Source organism: Homo sapiens, chromosome 2 (genome assembly GCF_000001405.40).
Source record: "Homo sapiens chromosome 2, GRCh38.p14 Primary Assembly".
NCBI classification, from domain to species: domain Eukaryota; kingdom Metazoa; phylum Chordata; class Mammalia; order Primates; family Hominidae; genus Homo; species Homo sapiens.
In genome coordinates, this window is record NC_000002.12 from 218,633,329 (window position 1) to 218,657,665 (window position 24,337).

Genomic DNA, 24,337 nt, shown 5'->3' on the forward strand with positions numbered 1-24,337 from the left:
TTGACACTGATCCCAGCAGTACATGCAGACCGCCTTTATTCCCATTCCCACCCCCAGGTTGTGACGTGCCCGCTGTTTTGTCCGTCTATCTGTTGTCAGATTGTGGCCCAGGCTCCTATTTCCAAGCCTGAGTCCCTTCTCTTGTCCCGGCAGGTGAGGCAGGAGGGAGAATACAGTGGGGAGGCAGTGGGCAGAGGTTTAGGTTGGATGGCCATTATCTTCTTCTCTCTCAGACTGCTGAGGGTTCAATTCCATCTTCTTTTCCACCTTCTCCAGAAATCCAAGCCCATCTTGTGTCCAGCCCTCTCTTCCCTGGTTATCTACTTGAAGTCTGTCTCATTCCGCAGCTTCACACATTCAAAGGAGCACTACCACTTCTACGAGATATCATCTTTCTCTGAAACCAAGGCCAAGCGCCTCATCAAGGAGGCTGGTCAGGACCAAAATGGAGGGATGGGGAGGGAAGTGGGATGGATAGGTTCAGGCCTGATGGACTGGCAGGTAAGTCCCAAGAAAAAAGACAAGGTAGCTAAGGAGAGATGAAGGAGTTCAGAAACTCCTTAGAGCAGACAAGGGCAGAGGAGTTATGAATAGTGGCTCAAGGGTCTAGGGGCAGGAAAGCTGGTCTGGATGGACAGAGTAGAGAGGCACAGTGAAACTTTCTGGAGCCAGCTTCAGATGCTGGAGAGAAGGGTGAAGAGTAGGCATGGTCCTTGGGACTAGGGAAGTGGGAGATTCCACCCCACTTCCATCTCCCTCTCTATACCCTTTTACAGGCAATGAGTTTGTGCAGCACAATACTTGGCAGTTAAGCCGTGTGTATCCCAGCGGCCTGAGGACAGACTCTTCCAACTACAACCCCCAGGAACTCTGGAATGCAGGCTGCCAGATGGGTGAGGAGGCAGCAGGGACTGGGAAGAGGGAGTGGAGGAGCAGCAGGTGGGAAATAAGTTCTCTAGTGATGGTAGGGTTGGGGAATGCTCAAGAAAATTGCTAGGCTGAGAAATGCTATCAGTGGATATTACCAGCAGGTACCGTGCACCCAGTACCTATCTTCTTAACTCCCTGAAAGAGGGGCTGGAAGGCCTCCATGGTGAATCTTGCTCTTCTTTTCTCCTGGGGCCCTCAGTGGCCATGAATATGCAGACTGCAGGGCTTGAAATGGACATCTGTGATGGGCATTTCCGCCAGAATGGCGGCTGTGGCTATGTGCTGAAGCCAGACTTCCTGCGTGATATCCAGAGTTCTTTCCACCCTGAGAAGCCCATCAGCCCTTTCAAAGCCCAGACTCTCTTAATCCAGGTACAGTGGAAATAAACTGTTGGGAAGAAACTGAGATAACTGGGATAGAAGTGAGGGAAGAGGTGGCTAGGCCTGACCGGAATGTAGAGGCCGGATAGCCTATTAACAGTGTCTAGTTTTAGCTTTTGGAGCCAGCTGCCTAGCTTCAAACCACAACTTCCTAATTGGGTAATGTTGGGCAAGTTCCTTAACCTCTCCATACCTCAGTCTGCTCACCTGCAAAATAGGGGTAACACTACCACCTGCCTCACAGGGTTATAAGGAGTATAACAGTTAATATAAAGTTCTTACAATTCCTGGCACACAGGAAGTGCTATAAAAGAGGCTGGCTGGGAGCGATAGCTTACACCTGTAATCCCAGCGCTTTGGAGGCCAAGGCAGGAGGACTGCTTGAGCCCAGGAGTTTGAGACCAGTCTGAAACTGGTCTCAACAAAAAATTTAAAAATTTTGTAGAGACTCCCGTCTCTACAAAAAATTTAAAAATTAGCCTGGCATGGTGGCACATGACTATAGATAGTCCTGGCTACTCAGGAGGCTAAGGCTGGAGGGTCACTTTAGCCCAGGAGATGGAGGTTGCAGTGAGCTATGACTGCCCCACTGCATTCCAGCTTGGTCAAGAGTATGATCGTGTCTCTTTGAAAAAAAAAAAGTGGCTGCTGTCATTAGCATGCCTACTTTCAAACTGTTGAATTTCTACCTGGATCCATTTAATTTATTTGTTTATTCTGAGACAGAGTCTTGCTCTGCTGCAGGCTGGAGTGCAGTGGCATGATCTTGGCTCACTGCAACCTCCGCCTCCTGGGTTCAAGTGATTCTCCCATCTGAGCCTTCCGAGTAGCTGGGACTACAGGCGCCCGCCACCATGCCTGGCTAATTTTTGTATTTTTAGTAGAGATAGGGTTTCACCATGTTGGCCAGGCTGGTCTCCTGGTTTCAAGTGATCTGCCCACCTCGGCCTCCTGAAGTGTTGGGATTACAGGTGTGAGCCACCGTGCCCGGCCTTTGGGTGCATTTTAAATTGCAGATAGAATACTAGAAGAAAATATATTACCCATGGAGGATGTTTTACAAACCAAAAAGCTTCTTCTCCCCTGGGGTTGGGAGTAGGGTCGGGTGGGGCTGGGCTGAGCAGGAACTTGTGAGATTCCAGAGCCCTGACTACAGGTGATCAGCGGTCAGCAACTCCCCAAAGTGGACAAGACCAAAGAGGGGTCCATTGTGGATCCACTGGTGAAAGTGCAGATCTTTGGCGTTCGTCTAGACACAGCACGGCAGGAGACCAACTATGTGGAGAACAATGGTGAGAAACTGGCAGTGCTGGGGAGGTGGGGGTAGGAGCATGATTAGTTTTCCTTCTAGTCTGTCTTCCATTAAGTATAGCATCTGTTATTGCATGTCCCCACATGGGAGGCAGTGTGGAACAGTACAAAGAATCCTGGCTCTTCACTTAAAAGCTCCAGTGACCTGGGCAAATTACTTGCTTACTCTGAGCCTTTTTCCTTACCTGTAAAATGCTGATTGCCATCTAGATTAAATGAGAACACAAGAAAAGCAACCCAGTCAAGAAAACTGTCATAATGTCTTCTTATTTCTTTCTGTCCACCAACTCAGGTTTTAATCCATACTGGGGGCAGACACTATGTTTCCGGGTGCTGGTGCCTGAACTTGCCATGCTGCGTTTTGTGGTAATGGATTATGACTGGAAATCCCGAAATGACTTTATTGGTCAGTACACCCTGCCTTGGACCTGCATGCAACAAGGTGAGCCAGCCCCTTTGGCCCCTGGCCAATACCCCAGCTCTGGCTGCCTTCCTAATGCTGTCCTCCTGCCCCTTCCAGGTTACCGCCACATTCACCTGCTGTCCAAAGATGGCATCAGCCTCCGCCCAGCTTCCATCTTTGTGTATATCTGCATCCAGGAAGGCCTGGAGGGGGATGAGTCCTGAGGTGGGCATTTCACGGGAAGGGTTGGTGTGCTGGCTTTAGACGGGGAGAAACATCTGGAAGGATGCTCGAGAGAACAAATGGAGGTGGTGAAAATCAAGCTTTGGATTGTGCATTCCTAGGCACAAAATTACCTCATTCTTCCTAACAAGCAATCTGGGACCTGATTTTCCACCTTTTTTCTCTTTTCTTCCCTTCCTTTGTTTTCATAAGCCTTTGGTATCTTTCCTGCCCTTTTCCTTTGTGTACTCTATACTGGAGTTCCCTTCTTCCTCTTGCTGTAGGCTCAATCCCATACCGACATCTACAACTAATCTTTCCCATCAACTCTGTGTGAAGGCAGGTTGCAACTAGAAATTCAGAGGGGCTTGGAATAGAGAAACCTAAAGAAGCATCATCCCCTCCATCCCCAACTTCCTCAAAGCCCAAAGCCAAGGGAAGGATAAATCAAGGCTCAAGGCTTCCCCAGCAAAGATTAGGGAAAGAGACTTGACCCCAGGACTGTACTACGACTCTTAAGAGAACACTGCACAGCACTCAAAGTCCCCCACTGGACTGCTTCCTCCTTAGCCCCACTGGTATAAATACATCTCTCTCCAATTTGGCTTCAATATGGTCTGTCATTGTTGGGCAAGAAGGGGAGGTACAAGGGTTGTGGGGACATCTGGGTAGTCAGGTGAGACAAGGAAAAGGTAGAGAAAGAGGTTCCCAGGAGACCTCTTGCATGTGCTACATAGGAAGGACACAGAGTATGGCTTTTAAGAATCAGGGCAAAAGCAGACAAAAGGTTATGTGGTCCCAGCCTTCCTGAAGAGTCTGGCTGGAACCATCCTGGTTTATGTCTGTTGTCCCAGCATAATTATTAATAGTACCCTCTTTAAGTTTTCCCAGTGTGTCTCAGTTTAGATGATCAATTATATAGTAAGGCACTACAGAATTATACTGTGAAGCAGTTATAGAATTCTGAATTGGAGATTTTCCTCTCTAGTCATCTGCCTTTCCATAGTATCCTTGTGCTTTAACACCTTAGTGTAGCTGCTGAGCCAGTCTGAGGATTGATGATGAGCTAAAGTTGCTTCTAGGAGGAGGCTTAGTGGGTAGCAATCCTCCCTCTATAGATACAGGTAGACAAAGGAGCTTGGAAGTAGGGAGCAGGTCAAGGGTCAAGATGGCTCAAGGACAGGGAGAAGGCAGACCTAGGCCTGTTTCAGTATCAATACTGAGTGAAGATGGAAGGGACAAAAGGGAGGCAGAGGTCTGAGAGGGGACAGAGTTGATCAAGATGACAGCCTGGAAATGTTAAGACAGGGATTTGGATGAATCTATAATGTAGTAACCACTTTCTGTTTAACATGCTTTATAGAGCATTAGGCACAACAGCACATGCGGTTAGATACAACTGTTTTTAGAAGATTCTGAAAGAAAATAGGAATTGACACAGTAAGAAGGAAAGAGAAGATGGAGTGGGTAAAATCCAGATCTTATAGCCAGGGACTTTGATGGAGTGATGGTGAAGAAACTGAGAACTTGCAGGTTAAAAACGCAATGTACAGCAATAAGAAATCAACGTTATAGTCCATGTCCCTCTTTTATATGGGTGATAATTTCAAAGTACTATAGCCAGAGTCCCAGGAAGGTTCTAGTCACCCTTGTACCCCAAAAGCCAGTCTTTCCTTAGGCTCTGAGCTCCTCAGGCTAGCGCTGGTCCCAGTCTGCACATCTCAGACCATACCCTCTTCCTATACAGGAGGTGGGGCAGGCTTTCAGCCCTCAGGTCCAGTGTGGGGAGCGGCAGGAGCAGGAGGGCTGGGATCCTCCAGCTGCACATCATGCAGGTGCACTGTGGGGGTGGTGGGGTCTTTGCCCACACCCTGGTTTGGGTCGGCTTGGTCAGGGTGGTGCCTGCGTACGTGCTTGACCACCTGGAACTTTTGCTTGGCCTTGTAGTTGCAGAGGCGGCAAAAGAAGGGGTGGCGGTCGGTGTGGGTGAGGGCATGATGGCGCAGGCCAGCAGCCCAGCGGAAAGCACGGTGGCACACATTGCACACATAGGGTTTGGCCTCACTGTGCTTGCGAAGGTGGGTGCGCAGCAGGAAGCGCGTCTTGAAGGCCTTGCCACACTGCTCACACATGAAAGCCCGTGCTTCTCGATGCCGGGTCTCCTGGTGCACACGCAGTGCATCAGCCCGGTTGGTGCAGTACTCACACTCGGGACACTGGTATGGCTTCAGTCCTACAGGACAGGGAACAAATCACCATTGAAAGGCGGTGGAGCAAGGTTTACTGGGCCATGGAGTTACTGCAATCAGTGGATATAAAGAATGCAAGCAGCAAGTTGACTAATGACCATCTCTTTGGAATGCTCCAGTCCTCCAGTCCTGTCTGACATTTCTTTTTTCTTTTATTTTTCTTTGAGACGGAGTTTCGCTCTTGTTGCCCAGGCTGGAGTGCAATGGTGCAATCTCGGCTCACTACAACCTCCGCCTCCCAGGTTCAAGTGATCCTCCTGCCTCAGTTTCCCAAGTAGCTGGAATAACAGGCATGGGCCACCACACCTGGCTAATTTTGTATTTTTAGTGAAGACAGGGTTTCACCATGTTGGCCAGGCTGGTCTTGAACTCTGGACCTCCAGTGATGTGCCCTCCTTGGCCTCCCAAAGTGCTGGGATTACAGGCATGAGCCACCGCGCCTGGCCCTGTCTGACATTTCTGTGCCTTTCCAACACAGCGTCCTTGTACATCAACAAGAACTCAATGTTGTAGTCCCAGCAATCAATGTTGTGGGTGCCCAATGGATGCTGATGATTAACGGGACCTCTAACCAACTAGCTACCTGACAGTAATGAATACTCAAATATGGAAGGGTTTCCCCATGGGAAATTATAACCCTCTTTTGGTCACAGAGTACTCATGGAATTCGACAATTCATTTAAACACAACGGCTTGTTCAACTCAAAAAGTCAAAGACCCAGCCTGGGCAACAAAGTGAGACCCTGTCTACAAAAAAATTAGGTGGGCGTGGTGGCGTGCACTTGTAGACCCAGCTAATTGGGAGGCTAAGGCAAGAAGATGATGTGCACCCAGGAGTTTGAGATTGTAGTGAGCTATGACTGCACCACTGCACTCCAGCATGGGCAGCAGAGCAAGACCCTGTCACTGAAAAAAAAAAAAAAAAAAAGTAAAAGAAATACTTAGGAGGGGCCGAGCATGGTGGCTCATGCCTGTAATCCCAGCACTTTGGGAGGCCGAGGCGGGCGGATCATGAGGTCAGGAGATTGAGACCATTCTGGCTAACACGGTGAAACCCCCATCTCTACTAAAAATACAAAAACTTAGCCGGGCGTGGTGGCGGGTGCCTGTAGTCCCAGCTACTCGGGAGGCTAAGGCAGGAGAATGGTGTGAACCCGGAAGGCAGAGGCAGAACTTGCAGTGAGCTTAGATTGCGCCACTGCACTCCAGGCTGGGCAACAGAGCGAGACTCTGTCTCAAAAAAAAAAAAAAAAAAAAAAAAAAAAGAAATACTTAGGAGGGAAGAGGTAGAGGTGAAATAAGTGGCATTCATAAAAGCAGAGGGCCTTGAAATGCTCCTAATCAATTCCTCCACATAGGGGGATCAGATGCAATAAGCACAGGCACACGATTGTGTGCTTTCAAGAACCGGGTTTGTGGATTCCATCCACACCCAGGAGAAGAAAAGGACAGACTAGAACAGGAGAATCCTTCACTTTCTCCTTTTTAACTCATGATAGTTCCATCATGTCTGTGTAAGAGCCAAGCAAATCTGCCCTTAGTCATACAAGTTTGAGTTGGGGGTTCTCAAGAGGGGAAAAATGACTGACTTCGTAACACAGTCACCTGGGAAGCTTTTGGAAAGTACATATGCCCAGGCTCTCAGGTTTACCCTTCTGATTCTGACAGGTCTTCAGTGGGTTGGGGAGCCATTCTGGCACATACAACCCCACCCTGCTGTCTACTCCCAATGTGAAATTGATGTTGGCCCTGAATTGGAACAAGGACCAACCTTGGTAAGGTTAGGTTTGCCAGGGAACAAAGGAACCCTTCAGGCCTGTCGAAACCACACAGACTCACCTGTATGCTTGGTCATGTGGTATTTCAGCTGGTTGACCCACTTGCACTTGTAGCCACACTCAGGGCACAGGTACTTCCGTTCCTCCTTGTGGATCCGCATGTGGTACTGGAAGAGGCAAGAGCAAAAAGCAGAAAATATAGTAAGTGCTCAATAAATGTTAGCTGTTATTATCCAGGTTATTCTTGCCCTGTTCTATGCCTTTATCATATGGCAAGCAGACATTATGGAACTTTGTTTTTCTTAATCTTCAGTTTACTTGCTAGGGATTTTTTTTTTTTTTTTTTTAAAGAGACAGGGTCTCACTCTGTTGCCCAGGCTGGAGTGAACTGGTGTGATCACAGCTCTCTGCAGCCTTAACCTCCTGGGCTAAAGCGATCCTCCCACCTCAGCCTCCCAAGTAGCTGGGAATACAGGCATGCGCCACAATGTCCAGCTAATTAAAAAAATTTATTTTTGTAAAGACAGAGTCTCCATATGTTGCCCTGGCTGGTCTCAAACTCCTGGGATCAAGCAATCCTCTGGCCTTGGCCTCCCAAAGTGCTAGGATTACAGGCGTGAGCCACCTCACCTGGCCGATAATTTTTTTTTTTTTTTTTTTTTGAGATGGAGTCTCGCTGTGTCGCCCAGGCTGGAGTGCAGTGGCGCGATCTCGGCTCACTGCAAGTTCTGCCTCCCAGGTTCACGCCATTCACCTGCCTCAGCCTCGAGTAGCTGGGACTACAGGTGCCCGCCACCACACCCGGCTAATTTTTTGTATTTTTAGTAGAGACGGGGTTTCACAGTGTTAGCCAGGATGGTCTCGATCTCCTGACCTCATGATCCGCCCACCTTGGCCTCCCAAAGTGCTGGGATTACAGGCGTGAGCCACCGCACCCAGCCTCAATTTTTTTTTTTAAATGGAGTCTTGCTCTGTCACTCAGGCTGGGGTGCAGTGGCATGATCATAGCTCACTGCAGCCTCAAATTCCTAGGCTCAAGCAATCCTCCCACCTCAGCCTCCTGAGTAGCTGGGACTACAGGTACTTGCCACCATGCCCAGCTGATTAAGAAAAAGTTTTTGTAATGGGATCTCGCTCTGCTGCCGAGTGGTCTTCAACTCTTGGCTTCAAGCAATCCTCCTAACTTGGTATCTCAAAGTGTTAAGATTACAGGCGTGAGCCACATTATGGAACTTTATCTTTACAACAACCCTATGAAGTTGGTATTATCTCATTTTTAACAGATGAAGAATCTGAGGCTTGGTAAAGGAACTTTCCCAAAGTCACAGAGCTAATATCTGGAGGAGTCAGCTATAGAGAACCAAGGCAGTTTAACTCCAGAGCCTGTGCTCCTTCCACTTCCTGCCCCATATCCTCTGACATTACCTTGAGACGAGAGGGATCAGCACAGGCATAGGGGCAGAGGTGACAGTGGTAAGGCTTTTCCCCAGTGTGGATGCGGCTGTGCCAGGTGATCTTCTGTCGGTTCTTGGTGCTGTAAGCACAATCGGTGCACTTGTAGAGACGAGTGCCCCCATGCCCTTTCACATGGTGATCTAGTACCAGCTGATGGCGGCATGTGAAGTCACAAAAGGGGCAGTGTAGCGGGGGCTGGCCAGCATCCCCATCCCCATCTGAGGCTGCCACGGCTGCTGAAGTCTCCTCATGCTGTTCCAGGTAGTGCTTTACCAGGCCCACCCGCTCCCGGGCAGCAAAGTCACAGAGCTGACAGCGGTGGCTGAAATGCTGCTGCCTCCGGTGCTCATCCAGAGCCAGTCGGCTAGGGAAGGCCTCCTGGCAGGCCCCACACTCAAGCCGTGGGTGCTGTTTACGGGTGTGTCCTCGTAAGCTGGCAGGGCTGGGGCACAGCAACCCACAGCGGGAACAGTGCAGGGGGCCCTCAGTGGTCTCTGCAGGAGAGCCAGGGGCAGGCTGTGCAGGCTCGGGGTGTCGGCGCAGAGCATGCTGCTTAAGTGCTGTCTCTGAGCTGAACTGGGCTTCACACTGGGAGCAGGCAAAGGCTGGGGTGCCTTGGTGGCAGCTGTTGACATGACGAGTGATGTCATGGCGAAGGTAGCCACTATAGTCACAAAGTGGACAGAAGTGGGTAGGTGTTTTGTCATGTACCCTTAACCGGTGCAAGCGCAGTTTCGAGTTGGTACCAAACGTCTGGGGGCAAGAGCTGCAGGGGATGCGGCCAATGCCTGTGTGTCGGGACTGGTGAGCCTCTAACCGGTACCGTCTGGTGGTCGAAAAGTCACAGAAGGGGCACTGATGGGGCTTCACCCCCTCGTGCTTGAGCCGCCGGTGCTGCTGCATGCAACGGCTCTGTTTACAGGTGAAGCCACAGTCCCCACACTGTAGATGGGGCCGGGGCCCACGGGCTGGGGCTGCAGTGGGGTGCCTCCGCTTCTGGTGGAGCCTTAAGGCAGTGGCAGCAGGAGCAGTGAATGGGCAGAGGCTGCAGTGCAGCTCTCCAGACTCCTCGAGGGGGCAGCCCCGGATCTGGTGAGTCCTCAGAGCCCGTTCCTGCTGGCAGCTAAAGGGACATGTAGGGCAGGAGAAGCGAGCCCCCTTCTGCTTTTGAACCAGAACTGTATCCCCATCACCAGAGCTGGACTCTGTACTCCCATTCTTCGGGGGAGCAGAGTCCCCATTGCTCAACGGGGACACATCAGGCTGGGTCTGGGGGGTCCCTCGTTTTCCTCCCCCGCCACGTCCCCCCCTGCAGCCTTCAGCCACGTGAGAGGTAATAGAGGAGAGCCGGGAACAAAGGAATGGGCAGGAGTTGCAGTGAAACTTGCCCTGCTCAAAGCGGTGCTTCTTCAGGGCCTCTGTGGGTGAGGAGTTTCCTGCAGGAGGGACTGGGTCAAGGTGGTGCTTCTTAGGGGCCTCCGTGGGTGAGGAGTTTCCTGCAGGAGGGACTGGGTCAAAGCAGTGCTTCTTAGGGGCCTCTGTGGGCAAGGAGTTTCCTGCAGGAGGGACTGGGGAACCAGAGACTGTGGCAAGAGGCTCTTCTGTTTCTTCTGGCTCCCTGGGAAGCTCCAAAGGAGCATCTTTTGGAAGCAGTAGCTCTGCTTCTTGTGATGCAGGTGGGGGCTTCCCACTTTCTGTGTCCTCTGAGGCCTGGGTACCTGGGAGCACAGGTTGCAGAGGGATGGGTGAATCTGGTCTGGGCAAGCCCTTGTTCTTTCTGAGTAGAACAGGGCACTTCTTCAGCAGGTGGGTGCTGAGGCCGCGTTGTTGCTTGAAGCTAGCCCCACACTCGGGGCACAGCAGGGGCTCTCGGCGGCCTTGGCACCCAGTCCTGGAGTGCAGATTCAGGGCCTTCTCCCGGCGAGTGATAAAAGGGCAGTGTGGGCAGCGGAAGGCTCGCCCCTCTCCCTGGATCACTACCATCTGCACCCGCCCCTCTAGCACCAATGCCTCTGCTTGTTCTTTGTCCTGTCTCCTTAGGGCCTTGAGTAATGACTCTGACTCAGGTAATGGGGGCAAGGGTGCTGTCTCAGCAGGTGGAGTTGTCTTGAAGGTTCCTACCCAGTTGTTAGGAGCCTCCTCTAAGGATGGAGGATTTGTGGAGGGCTCAGACACTGGCTTTTCCAGAAGGGGATTTTCTTCAGCACTCAAGTCAGAAGTCCCAATACCTTCAAAGCTAGATAGCTCTGGTCCTTCCAGTCCATCTGGCCCTTCCAGTCCCAGGGGCCTGAACTCCATAGGGGCTGTTTCAGTGACCTCCTCAAGGGGTGGCTCAGTCACAGACTCCAGCTCTACTCCCAGGGCCTCTAGGTGTAGTGTGCAGCTGCCCTCCTCCACCTCTGCTGGGCTGGGACTGCCACCCAGGTCACCCCCATGGGGAGCCTCACTGCCCTCCTGTCTTCCAGTGTTGACCTCCTCACTCATCTCTGGCAGGGCCTGGTCCAAGCTGGGGTCCACCACAGTCCCAGGTTCGTGACCTGGCCCCTCAGGTCGGGCTGACAGCTGGTTTGAGGGCTCTGAATCTGGTGGGGGTGTTGGGCCCTGCATGGCCCCTTCTGGCTCCTGGCTTGCATAGCGGAGCTGCCAGGCCTGGTCTCCAGGTACATAGCCATGGGCCTTGCGTTTATGGAACAAGAGTGTGGTGTTGCTGAAGGTGCGGTAGTCACAGAGGGCACAGTGGAACTCACGGAGGCGGGTATGCTTGCAGTTCTCATGGCTCAGCACAGCCTGCTTGTGGCGGCTCTGGTAACTGCAGTAGTGGCAAGGGTAGAGTGGGGCCGGTGTGCCAGGGTGGTGCTGGGAAGCCATGTGCTTCTGCAGCTCATACTTCCGCTTGCAGGCGAAGGCACACACCTCACACATCAGAGACTTGCCCTGATGCCGCAGCTTGTGGCTGCTCAGCTGATCAGCCCGGTGACAGCGATAGGAGCACTGGTTGCACTGATACCTGGCAAGGAGGGAAAGGGGGAGGCAATCACAATAATTAATCACAACAACTAAGAATCAGTCAGTAAATACTTACTGTGGGCCAGGCTCTGCACTCAGTATCATACATGTGTCACCTGATGTAACCCTCCTTTTCACTACCCTATGAAACTGGTATCTCTATTTTCCAAGTGAGAAAAACTAAATCACAGAAGTTAATAATTTGCCTAAGGTTGGTTACAAAGTAAGCCAGGAGCAGAGACAGCCTAGCTTCAGGGCCTGTGTTCTAAGCCCTATTCTGTACTGCCTTCCTAAAAGAAAGTAATCATGAATCAGCATGACCCACTGTAGACTTCCAAGGAACTGACGTGGCTACAACTCCACAGGGCAGGTTTCTGTGCCTCATTTCCCTTCTCCCACAGAGGCATGACAGGTCTAGAAACCCCTTAGCCAGCTGTGCCATAGGTCAGAGAACTTGCCTGGATTTGGAAGTGGCAAGATTGGGGCATGAATATAGTGTCTATCCACTTTCCCAGGGCCAAACTCTGAGAACTCAAGTGACACCTTAGTCTCTAGGCCTATACTGTAGGTCTATACTCCCTTCCCAGAGCCCAGAGAGTGCTCGCTATGTGACTGAGCCACAGTCACAGAGGCCAGCTGTAGGCAATGGAGTTGAGACAGTGGGAACAGAGAAGGGTGTTAGGAAAAGACTCTCTTTTTTCTTTCCTTTTCTTTTTTGAAACAGAGTCTTACTCTGTCACCCAGGCTGGAGTACAGTGGTGCAATCTTGGCTCATTGCAACCTCCACCCCCCGGCTCAAGCGATTCTAGTGCTTCAGCCTCCCAAGAAGCTGGCATTACAGGCGTCTGCTACCATGCCCAGCTAATTTTTGTAGTTTTAGTAGAGATGGGGTGTTGCCCAGATGGCCTTGAACTCCCAAGCTCAAGCAATTTGCCCGCCCCGGCCTCTCAAAGTGCTGGGATTACAGGTGTGAGCCATTGCACCCGGCCTTAGGAGGAGACTCTCCAGGGACCGGAGAAAGAAATAGGGCCAGAAGTTAGATCCGAGAGGAAGCTAGCTTGGCTAAGATTCTTGGGATTGGGACGGAGGCCTATGTGTGTGTTGTACCTGAGGTCCCCTGCATGTTTTCGCATGTGCACACGGAGGTAGTGCTTCCACTTGGTGACATAGCCACATTCAGTGCACATGTAATCCTTGGTGTTGGAGTGGGTCAGCATGTGCTTGGATAGGTAGCTCACGTCTCGGCATGTGAAGTCACACAGCTCACACTTGTGGGGCTTCTCACCTTATATGGGGGATGCGGATGAAGGGAGAGAACACAGGTCAGATACAGATCAAGTGGACAGACCATTTCTTCCAGCAAGCCTGCCCTGATGCCAGGGAGGAACAACAGCTTCATGTGCTACCTGAGATGGTGAAAACCTCACAATAATAAAGGGCTGCTTCAGGGCCCTCTCAGACAACTACTCCCCCAACTCCCACACCAGTGAAGATGGGAAGAAAGTAAAGACCAAGCTTTTCTTTTTTTTTTTTAAATTGAGACAGAGTCTCAATCTGTCGCCCAGGCTGGAGTGCAGTGACGCTACCTCAGCTCACTGCCAAGCTCGGCTGCCCGGGTTCAAGCAATTCTTGTGCCTTAGCCTCTCGAGTAGCTGGGATTACAGGTGCCCGCCACCACGCCCAACTAATTTTTTTGTATTTTTAGTAGAGATGGGGTTTCACCATGTTAGCCAGGCTGTTCTCGAACTCCTGACCTTAGGTGATCCGCCCGCCTTGGCCTCCTAAAGTGTTGGGATTACAGGCGTGAGCCACCGTGCCCACCCCAAGCTTTTCAAAACTAGCTTAAAGTCCACTCTTGATTTGTTTTACAGCTTGCTGTCACTATGGTCAACTACTCAGCCTAATTTTTCTGTTTTCTAGAACAAAAGGAAAAATAAATGAGACAACAGAACAGAATGGTCAAGAATTCTGATCTGAAGTCCAACACAGTAATAAAAATATTAACAGCCAACATGAACAAAGTTCTTATTATGTGACTAGCACTCTTCTGAGCACTTTGTAAAAAAATTCCTCCTCTCGGCCGGGCATGGTGGCTCACGCCTGTAATCCCAGCATTTTGGGAGGTCGAGGCAGGTGGATCATGAGGTCAGGAGATCGAGACCATCCTGGCTAACACGGTGAAACCCTGTCTCTACTAAAAATACAAAAAATTAGCTGGGCATGGTGGTAGATGCCTGTAGTCCCAGCTACTCGGGAGGCTGAGGCAGGAGAATGGCGTGAACCCAGGAGGTGGAGCTTGCAGTGAGCCGAGATTGGGCCACTTTACTCCAGCCTGAGCAACAGAGCCAGACTCCATCTCAAAAAAAAAAAAAGCCTCCTCCCCTCAAATTTTCAGAACATCCTTAAGAGGCAGGTGCTATTATCACCCTCATTTTACAGATAGGGAAACAGAGGCACAGAGAAATCATAGAGCCATTAAGTGGTAGTTTAAATCCTAGTTGACTACCATGTGGGTTTGAGCAGTCTGTTTCCTTGCCTCCAAAAGGTTGGTATAAAGATTATATGAAATGTCCCAAAGCTGTCAGTGATACTCAGTGAGAACTCAAAGGTGAGCTGTCCATATTGATGGTCAAGACCTGGCACTGACAGGCTGGGGGCCAGGTTCCTTCAAGACCCCTCCTTGTTGTCCCTGCCCACTCACCCAGACCCCTTCCCTATGGTGAAAAGGCTAGCAATGTGGTATTCTGGTTCTAACACTATCTGTGTGATCTTAAAGTAGGTCTCAGAGTTTGTCTCTTTTCTCATCTTTATCTGCCTTACTTAAAAGATTAAGCCTTTTGGAAAGACCTCAGAAACATGAGATTTTGTGACTAAAGCATGTACAGGAATGAGTTCAGTGAGAATGGCTTTGTCCCAGGATGCCTACAATTTTTTCTCCCAAACCAGTGTCTTTGATGAAAATTCTAAAAATGTCCTGTCAATCCACTGATGTTGATATAGAGATCACAAATGGGATGATGCTGTAGCAGGAAGCTTGGTTTGGTTGTTACCTAAAGCATCAAGAATGCTAGAAGACAGTTACGAGTGCGAGTTAAACATCTGCAACTTCCAGGTCACTGGAGGTGATCTTTTTCAGTGTCATGGATGCCCAAGTTATAGAAGGCCATATGCGTGTGGATGGCTCAGTCCCCTCGCCCGTCTCTCTTAGCATATCCCAAAACATGAATTGCAAAGTAAGGTATTTGTCCTGGTTTAGGTTTCTTCAGGCTTGGTGTTAACCCACTCAAGCCTGACTAGGGGTGGGCAGAACTGGACAAGGGCTTAAGAGCGAGGCACAGCACCACAGTGGTTAGAGCACAGGCTCTGGAATCAGACTGCATGGATTCAAATCCTAGCTCTACTACTTTACTAGCTAAATGACACTCAACTTAAGGCTCATTTGTAAACTTGGAATGCTAGATCTATCTCTAGGAATTTTGGGTCAAATGAGAAAACGTATGCAAGACCCTTTGTAGCCAGTATCACCACCATCATTATTACAACATTATTTTAAGGATGGAAACCATCCTACCCGTATGTAGAAGCATGTGTCGGATGAGCACCCTCTTGTGGGCAGTGGCAAAGTTGCACTCAGGACACTGGTGGATCTTTTCATGAGCATGCATCTTGCCTACATGATCCTGGTAAGCCACTGGGTTGAAGGTGGCAAAGGGGCAGAAGGTGCAGCGCAGCTCTTCACTGCCAGGGTGGCCCTGCTTCTTGTGTTTACGGAATAGGTGCTTATTGGAACAAGCAAAATCACAGTGGGGGCAGTGGAAGGCGTAGTGACTCTTGTGGTGGGCCTCCATGGCTTCGGCTGTGGCAAAGAGCATGGGACATGAGTGATGGCGGCACTCCACAGCCCGCACCCCATGGGTCTCCTTCAGGTGCTTAATGAAGGCCTTGCGGTCGGGTGCTGCATAGCTGCAGCCCTCCTGAAAGCAGCGAAGGGGTAATGGCTCTGCTGCGGCTGCTGCCGTGTGGCTCTTGAGGTGCTCCTTTAGGGCCTGGCTGAGGCGGAATTCCTCACGGCAGACAGGACAGGCATAGGTGTCTGAGTAGAAGTTGGAAATATCTTCATGCATGCTGGCCATGTGGCGGTTGAGTGCATTCCTCTCCACCGCACTGTAGTGGCACAGTGGGCAGTGGTGGGCCTTTTCACCCAGCTCCCGCAGCAGATGGGTCTTGAGCTTGCTCTTACTGGTGAAGAACTTCTGGCAGTTAGGGCACTGGAGGCTGGGGTCTGGGAAGTGGAGATGCAGGTGCTCCACCAGATGAGTCCGCTTCTTAAAGCAGCGCTTACACTCTGGACACATATGGGTCTTGAAGAGGGACTCGGTGCCAGAGACCACATCCCCTGGGAAAGGGAATACAGAGAGTTGAGAGAGTGAGATTTTTCTGGGGAAAGCCAGATAATGGGAGAACCACAATTTGCTCAGACACAAACGATGTGTGGCCTCTCTGCAGGAAACCAAGCAAAAGGGTCTCAAATACTGTAGTCTCAAAAAAGGGTGAGAAACTCAAGTTTTAAGAGAAGCAAAATCACAAGGGCTTCTCAGGCCTTGCTGTGACAGCCTGTTTGAAGTGCTTTACTCAGCTACCTGCTCTTCTTGAGCCTTTGTTTAGAGCTGCTTAAAATAATCTGAATGGAGCATTCTTGTTCTTTCCTGCCTTGTTCTATGGGGGCAGGCAGAAGCATCGGCAAGATTAGTTAGAAGGAAAAGAGCCCCCAAGGGGGTGAGCCAAAAGAAGGTACAGTACTCTTACTGGCTCACAGGCTCTAGATAATAATGAAGTTGGTAATAAATACAACCCAATCTTTCTTATTCACTTGATAACTATGCTCCTTGTGGGATGACTTTCAAATATTCTACTGAGGTGAAAAACTGGGAAGCAAAGATTCAGAAAAAAGTATTTGAGGGCTCAGTGCCAGACAAAATAGGCTGCTGATCATCAATAACTTCTGGCATCTCTATATGATGAAGATCACCTCCTGCTTCCCTGCTAGAGTTTTCTGCCTGAGGAAAACCAGCCCAGTGAAGCAAACTCGATTTACCCCAATGCTATATTACTAAAGTCTTTACCATTCACTCATTTATCATTTTCCCACTAGACCTTGACTTTTGAGTCAAGGTAGAACAGAATAAAAGGATCCGAACCAAAGCTCAGAAAACAAACCCCAGAGCCTCAATGGCAGGGTTTCAACAATCCATTCTTCCCCACCACCAAGGGCTTCAAGCCTCAGAATGTCATTACCTTCCAGCCGCTGAGCCCCTTGGCCTTTATCCACAGCCTTTTGGGAGTCCTTCTGGGTGTCACTCTTCTCTTCTTTCTCTACATTCTCCTCTTCAGCTGTCTCCTGCCCAGGCAAGGGTGTACCTGCTTCCTGTGAAGGTTCTCTCTCTCCTGGAGGCAGTTTGGGAGCTGGAGATACATAAAACTTGATAAAGTCTACAGGAGCCAATAACAGCACTAAATGCTTATACTTCTCTACCTACTGGCTGAAATAATCACCCTCTCCCACTTTTAGCATAAGGAGATCTTGGGTTTTATGTATAAATGTATTTCCACTCAAGATGAAAATAGGAGGACGAAGAGCTAAGTTATTAGCAATGTTCCAGTCTAAAGTAACTCAAACCTCAGAGAGCACCACTTTCAGACTCCATGAAGCTGACAGCAGCGAGGTCATTGAGGTCATAGGGGGCTGAAAGTAGAGAATGGGTAGACTGCAATTCCTTCTCTTATCAGAATTCTGGCCTCTCCTGGCCCGTTTTCTCTGTTTCCTCCTGCTCCTCTGCTCTCTCATGCTTTTTTGGGACCAAGAAGAATGACAACTACTAAAACGCCGTCTCCCTTGAAAGTTCCTAAGTTCCTTTCTTTACTTCTTTTTTTTTTTTTTTTTGAGACAGGGTCTTACTCTGTCATCCAGACTGAAGTGCAGTGCTGCAATCTTGGCTCACTGCAACCTCCACCTCCTGAGCTCAAGTGATCCCCCACCTCAACCTCCCGAGTAACTGGGACTACAGACATGTACCACCACACCCAATTTTTGTATTTTTTGTAGAGACAGCATTTCACCACATTGCCCAGGCTGGTCTTGAACTCCTGGGCTCAAGGGATCCATCCACCTTGGCCTCTCAAATTGTTGGGATCACAGGCATGTGCCACAGTGCCCAGCCCAAAGGGTTATTTCCTTTTTAAAATAACCCTGGCTTCTACTGCCCAATCCCCAGTTGCTCTAAAGGAAAGTCTACAGGCATTCTATCAGTGGCCATAGCCAATGATGGTCATTTTCACTTTAGCTCTCAGAAAGTTGTGAAATGGATCATTAGAGAATATTGGTTAAGTAACTTCAGGCCACACGTAGCCTAAGCCAACTTTCACTCATTGTCACAAACAAAGACTTCCTCTTTGTCCCATATATTCCAACTGTTTCAAGATGCCTTCCCATGTCATCCAGTAACTCCATCCTCCTGAGCCACTGTCTAGATTCTCTTATATTCATGTACATTCATGGCCTTGGAAACAACTGCCTCTCCTATAAGATCAACTGTGGCTGAACTCCAGGAGAGGAACTGCTTGGCCCTTGGCCTCATACCTGGCAGCAGCTCCTGGGATGGAAGGCCCTGAACGGCAGAAAGTTCTCCCTGTGTCCCAGCACCATGGCTCCGCTGATGCTGCCGGAAGAGTTTGACGTTGGAGCCTATGAAGCTGCAGTGGCTGCAGTGGAAAGGGTAATGCGCCTGCCGGTGCAGCTCCATGCCCTGCTGGCTCCCGAAAAGCAGGGGGCAGCCCCGGAAAGAACAGGGCACAGGAACTGCTCTGTGAGTCTGCCTCAGGTGGTGCTGCAGACCCTTGCGATCTTCAGCAGAGAACACACAGCCAGATTCTGGGCAGGAGAAGGTGTCAGGAGTGCCCCGGTGAATCTTGAAGTGGCTCTTCAGGGCCTGGGGTTGGGCAAACTCCTGTCTACACACAGGGCATGATAGGGGGCTAACTGGCGGGCTCTGGCCCTGCAGAGGGCCAGGGAGGGTTGGGTTGCTGGGAGGCAGCTCTACAGAGCATGGGGGGCTAGAGAGGCCCTGCACAGGCTGTATATGGGTCTCACTGCACTGGTGCAGGGCCAGCAGAGTGGGCTCTGCGAAGCTCTGTTCACAGCGCTCACAGAAGTACACCTCCACCACCTTTACCAGGACACCTGCAGGCAGAGGACCGACAGAGAAAGGCATAGAATCAGATGGAACAAGACTCATAGGAGTTAGTTACTAGTAGAAAATGTAGGTGAATCTTTTAATATTCGTAGAGTACAGATGGACTTTAAGTCTGGTCCTACACCTGGACTGTAGGCCCCATAAGGTCAGGGACCATCTATCTGGCACGTGTGTTTGGATTCCTAGCACAATACTTGGCACAAGATAGGTGCTTAATAAATATTTGTTAAATGAGTGAACAAGCAAGCAAATCCAGAAAGCATTAAGACAGTATATTTTGCCCAAGTGAAAACCAGAAACTTCCAAAAGAAAATGACAAACTAGGGATAATATCTGCAATATAAATGGTTAAGAGCTTTACTTTCAAATTCTGTAAAGAGCTTTACAAAGGCACAGGAATGGATAAAATGGAGAATATCCTTCTGAAAATAATTATTATTCTCCATAATAATTGCTGCCGTTTTAAAAGCAATGGGCAAGACTTTGATAAAGAAAGGCTTAATAAACGCTCTCATTTGGTCCTCCAACAGCCCTATGACAACAAGGTCCTGAGATTCTACGAGATTAAGACTACTATGTTTATTAGTGGTAGAGCCATGACTCAAGGCCAGGTTTGTCCTACATTTATTCTGCTGGTCTGTTTGCTCTTTATTGTTTTTTTTGTTGTTAAAAAAAAAAATTTCAGGGCCAGGTGCAGTGGCTCACGCCTGTAATCTTGGCACTTTGGGAGGCTGAGACAGGAGGATCATGAGGTCAGGAGATCGAGACCATCCTGGCTAACATGGTGAAAACCCGTCTCTACTAAAAATACAAAAAATTAGCCAGGCGTGGTGGCACGCACCTGTAGTCCCAGCTACTCAGGAGGCTGAGGCAGGAGAATCGCTTGAACATGAGAGGTGGAGGTTGCAGTGAGCCGAGATTGCCCACTGCACTCCAGCCTGGCCAAGAGAGAGACTCTGTCTCAAAAAAAAAAAAAATTTCAGGCCGGGCCTAGTGGCTCACACCTGTAATCCCAGCATTTTGGAAGGACGAGGTGGGTGGATCACCTGAGGTTGGGAGTTTGAGACCAGCCTGACCAACATGGCGAAACCCCGTCTCTACTAAAAATACAAAATTAGCTGGGCATGGTGGCGCATGCCTGTAATCCCAGTTACTCAGGAGGCTGAGGCAGGAGAATCGCTTGAACCTGGGAGGTGGGTTGCAGCGAGCCAAGATCACGCCATTGCACTGCAGCCTGGGTGACAAGAGTGAAACTCTATCTCAAAAAAAAAAAAAAATTTCAGTGCAACATCTAAAATGATACATAAGTATACAAAGGAAGAATAACCACCCAGCACCTTCACACGCACAATTTGGTGTGTTTCTTTTTGACCCTTTTCTTTCCACTTGCTATATATCAAAGATATTTTTATCTTTGAGTACATTTACATCTAGTTTGTACTTTCTTATCCAGTTCATGTTTTTTCCAGAGCATGAACAAATCAAAACGAAATTCTGCCCTTGCTTCCCTGGGGACCAAAAAAATAAAAATAATTTTTTTGGCTGGTGGTGGGGGAAACAAGGTCTCTCTCTGTCACCCAGGCTGCAGTGCAGTGGTGGTGTGATCACAGCTCACTGCAGCCTTGACCTGCTGGGCTCAAGTGATTCTCCCACCTCAGCCTCCTGAGTAGGTGGGACTACAGGCATCACCATTCCTGGCTAATTTTAAATTTTTTTGTAGAGATGGGGTCTCCCTATGTTGCCCATTCTAAAAATAATTTTAAAAAATAAATTGTGCCGTTACTGATGGACATTTGGGCTGTTTCCAACCATTACAAATAAAGCACCCCTATATATCCTCATCCTTGCTCTGGCCACTGTAATTCCGGTGTCTTTGTGCATTCCTACAGTGGAATTAGTGGTCAGAGTATGCAAATTGTAAAATTTGCTATGTAGCTAAATTGACCTTCAAAAGATTATACTAATTTGTATCTCCATAAGCTGTAACATAGTGTTTCCTATAGCCTCATCAACACTAGGTATTATTAAAAATGTTTAATTTATGCCAAAATGCATCTCCTTTTTTTTTTTTGAGACAGAATCTCGCTTTGTTGTCCAGGCTAGGGTTCAGTGGTGCGATCTTGGCTCACTGCAACCTCCGCCTCTCGGGTTCAAGCAATTCTCCTGCCTCAGCCTCCTGAGTAGCTGGGATTACAGGTGCCCACCACCATGCCAGCTGATTTTTTGTATCTTAGCAGAGGTGGGGTTTCACCATCTTGCCCAGGCTGGTCTCAAACTCCTGAGCTCAGGCAACTGCCTGTCTCGGCCTCCCAAAGTGCTAGGATTATAGGCATGAGCCACCATGCCCAGCCACATCTCTTATTTTTAACTGGAATTTATTTCTTTGCTAGTGAGATTAAGCATCCTTCCATATGGTTACTACTTTTATTTCTTCTTTAGAGCATTGCACATAGATTTCTTTTTCCCATTTAAAAAAAAAAAAAGGTTTCTGCTGGGTGCGATGGCTCATGTCTGTAATCCCAAAACTTTAGGAGGCCGAGGTGGGAAGATTGCTTGAGCCCAGGAGTTCAAGACTAGCCTGGGCAACAAGGTGAGACCTCGTTTCTACCAAAGAAAATTTAAAAACTAGCTGAGTGTGGGTGGTATACACCTGTGGCCCCAGCTACATGGGAAGCTGAGGCAAGAGGATTGCTTAAGCCCAGGAGGTCAAGGCTGCAGTGAGCCGTAACTGTGCCACTGCACTCTAGCCTGGGTGGCAGAGCAAGACCCTGTCTCAACAAAACCCCCAAAACCAAAAGAAAACAAAAAAAGCAAAGCAAACAACAAAAAAGATGGTTTCTTTTTCTTACTGTGGCTCTTTGAATTTTAAAGATATTAACTCTTTCTTACATATTGCGAATGTTTTTCCTAGGCTTTTTATTTTTTTAAATTTCTTTCACCATATGGAAGTTTGGAAATATTATATGGTCAAATTAGCTAATCTTTCCCAATATTCTTTGTCACTATACTACAGTGCCAACTGAAGTGGTGACAACTATGGCTGGAGGACGGTAATTAAAAAACAGGGAAGCTTCCTAAAAATAAGAGGTGAGGATAATGGGATGAATAAAGGGAGAATCTTTCATCTGAGATAAATACAAATGCTCAACTCCTACTTTTTTGTTTTGTTTTGTTTTTTTAAAGAGATGGGGGTCTCACTATATTGCCCAGGCTGGAGTGCAGTGGCTATTCACAGGTATGATCATAACATACGGCAGCCTCTAACTCCTGGGCTCAAGCAATCTTCCTGCCTCAGCCTCCCAAGTAGCTGAGACTACAGGTGCATGCCACTGTACCAGGCCTCAACTCTTATTCTTAACAACATGCCTCGGATGAGTAAAGTATGTTATACACAAAAAACTAGGGCAGGGAAATACCAGATCACTTCTGGAAAGCCCTGCCAAGCCCAGGGTGGTAGAGACAGGGTTTTTGCTTAATCCCTGGCTGCAGTTCCTGGGTAGGAGGGTCAATATGGAGGAAAGAATCTCCAAGGACTGTAAGAGTAGGGACAAGCCAGGATTGGGCGGAGGTGTCAGAAAGGTCTTACTTTCTGGATTACTGCCTAGCACACATGAAGCCCTTGCAGGACAGACTGCCAAAAGCTTGGTAGAAGGCTGTGCACCACTTCGCCAGCCTTCAATCAACATGCACCAACTGCAAACCAAATGACAACATCTCCAAGTATAAAAATAGGATGCTACCTTGTGTTCTCATCATATTTATACAGAATCAAAAATAACCCAGACAAAACCTCAGAGCTGCTTGTCCCACTGGCCTGCTTGCAACTGTGTTTGTACCTGGGGTCTCTCCAGGAGCACCTGGGGTCAGGGTTCCAGCTACTGTCTCCACAATGATCTCCATGTTCCCTGGTCCCTCTTCAGTTGCTGTGGCCTCTACCAGCAGGCAGCCTGGCTCAGTAGGTATAGGTGCAGGGTCCCGGGAAGGACAGGGGCTCTGGACAGGCCCCAGGATTCCACGGTTAGAGAGAGGCGGGGGGATCAGCAATAGCTCAGGGCACAGTCCATCCATCTCCCCGGTGCTACTGGCTGGCTGTGAGTCCAAAAGGGGGTCTGTCATCACCACCGACTTGTGTGTTTTGGCTTCTTAAATGCTGACAAGCCAACCAGAAGAAAAACAAAGTAAGGTTAGAGTTCTTACTTTCTTCCTGGCTGGCGTGGGTACACAGCCCAGTGCCCACCCACTTAGGCATTTTCTTGCATGGCAATATGCCATATATACCATATGAGACTAAATAGAGGCTTTCTTTTATGATAATGTTCAGAACAAAAAGTATAAAAATGATAACAGAATATTAGGAGACAGCCAACAAGTATTGGCCAATATATTAATGACTGCAGGTTGTCTTCTGCTAGCTAAGTGCCCTTAGCCAAGTCATTAAGCAATTTGGGTCTCAGATTTCTTATCTGCAACAAAATTAGGTGGGGCCCAAATATCTCAGAAGTCCTTTTTTTTTTTTTTTTTTGAGACAGAGTCTCGCTCTGTCACCCAGGCTGGAGTGCAGTGGCGTGATCTTGGCTCACTGCAACCTCCGCCTCCTGGGTTCAAGCAATTCTCCTGTCTCAGCCTCCCCAATAGCTGGACTACAGGCATGTGCCACACACGCCCAGGTAAATTTTGTATTTTTAACAGCGATGGAGTTTCACCATGTTGGCCAGGCTGGTCTCGAACTTCTGACCTTGGGTGATCTGCCCGTTTTGGCCTCCCAAAGTGCTGGGATTATAGGCGTGAGCCACCTTGCCTGGTCCCTTTCCCTCTTAACCTTTGATAATCTCACTATTCCTCAGCATGGATTATAAGGAAGGCCCTTCCTTCATCATCTGGCTCCTGCTGACCTCCCCTGACTCATCTCCCACTTCTCCCCTCAGCAGATCTCTGAACCAGATGATGTGCCATTCTCCAGACCCACCACATTCTCTTTTGCTTTCATACCCTCACAGCCTTTTGCGTCTCTTGGCTTGATATGCCTTTTCCCCTTCTCAATCTCTCTCTCTTATCTGGCTAACCAATTAACTATCCTTGAAGAAGCTGCACAAATGTCACTTCCACCATGAAGGCCTCCTGACATTCTTTTTTTTGAGACAGTCTTAGTCTGTCACCTAGGCTGGAGGGCAGTGGCACGATCTCAGCTCACTACAACCTCTGCCTCCTGGGTTCAAGCGATTCTCCTGCCTCAGCCTCCTGAGTAGCTGGGATTACAGGCATGTACCACCACGCCTGGCTACTATTTTGTATTTTTAGTAGAGATGGGGTTTCTCCATGTTGGTTGGGCTGGTCTTGAACTCCAGAACTCAG

At 49.0% G+C, this 24,337-nt stretch overlaps 2 protein-coding genes across 34 annotated transcripts in view; one reads left to right on the forward strand and one right to left on the reverse strand.

Moving 5' to 3' along the window:
• Positions 1-3,847, forward strand: part of PLCD4 (phospholipase C delta 4) — a 29,277-nt gene extending 25,430 nt beyond the window's left edge. For 3 of the 10 annotated variants that reach the window (XM_047446072.1, XM_047446077.1, XM_047446074.1), the window contains 5 exons: positions 58-433; positions 777-893; positions 1,130-1,302; positions 2,468-2,603; positions 2,915-3,847. In XM_047446072.1, coding sequence (XP_047302028.1) covers positions 58-433; positions 777-893; positions 1,130-1,302; positions 2,468-2,603; positions 2,915-3,249 — 1,137 coding nt within the window. In that variant the 3' untranslated portion in view covers positions 3,250-3,847. Of the gene's footprint in view, positions 1-57; positions 434-776; positions 894-1,129; positions 1,303-2,467; positions 2,604-2,914 lie in introns of those variants that run through there. The other 7 variants (XM_024453182.2, XM_047446075.1, XM_047446076.1 and 4 more) reach the window with 7 other exon arrangements.
• ZNF142 (zinc finger protein 142) overlaps positions 1-24,337 on the reverse strand; it is a 26,295-nt gene continuing 1,958 nt past the window's right edge. For 7 of the 24 annotated variants that reach the window (XM_011511788.3, XM_011511786.3, NM_001379660.1 and 4 more), the window contains 8 exons: positions 22,822-23,135; positions 18,373-18,972; positions 17,031-17,198; positions 15,307-16,131; positions 12,843-13,020; positions 8,700-11,736; positions 7,336-7,441; positions 1-5,480 (listed from right to left, as the gene is read on the reverse strand). In XM_011511788.3, coding sequence (XP_011510090.1) covers positions 5,011-5,480; positions 7,336-7,441; positions 8,700-11,736; positions 12,843-13,020; positions 15,307-16,131; positions 17,031-17,198; positions 18,373-18,972; positions 22,822-23,101 — 5,664 coding nt within the window. In that variant the 5' untranslated portion in view covers positions 23,102-23,135 and the 3' untranslated portion in view covers positions 1-5,010. Of the gene's footprint in view, positions 5,481-7,335; positions 7,442-8,699; positions 11,737-12,842; positions 13,021-15,306; positions 16,132-17,030; positions 17,199-18,372; positions 18,973-19,236; positions 23,136-24,337 lie in introns of those variants that run through there. The other 17 variants (XM_047445782.1, XM_047445780.1, XM_047445781.1 and 14 more) reach the window with 6 other exon arrangements.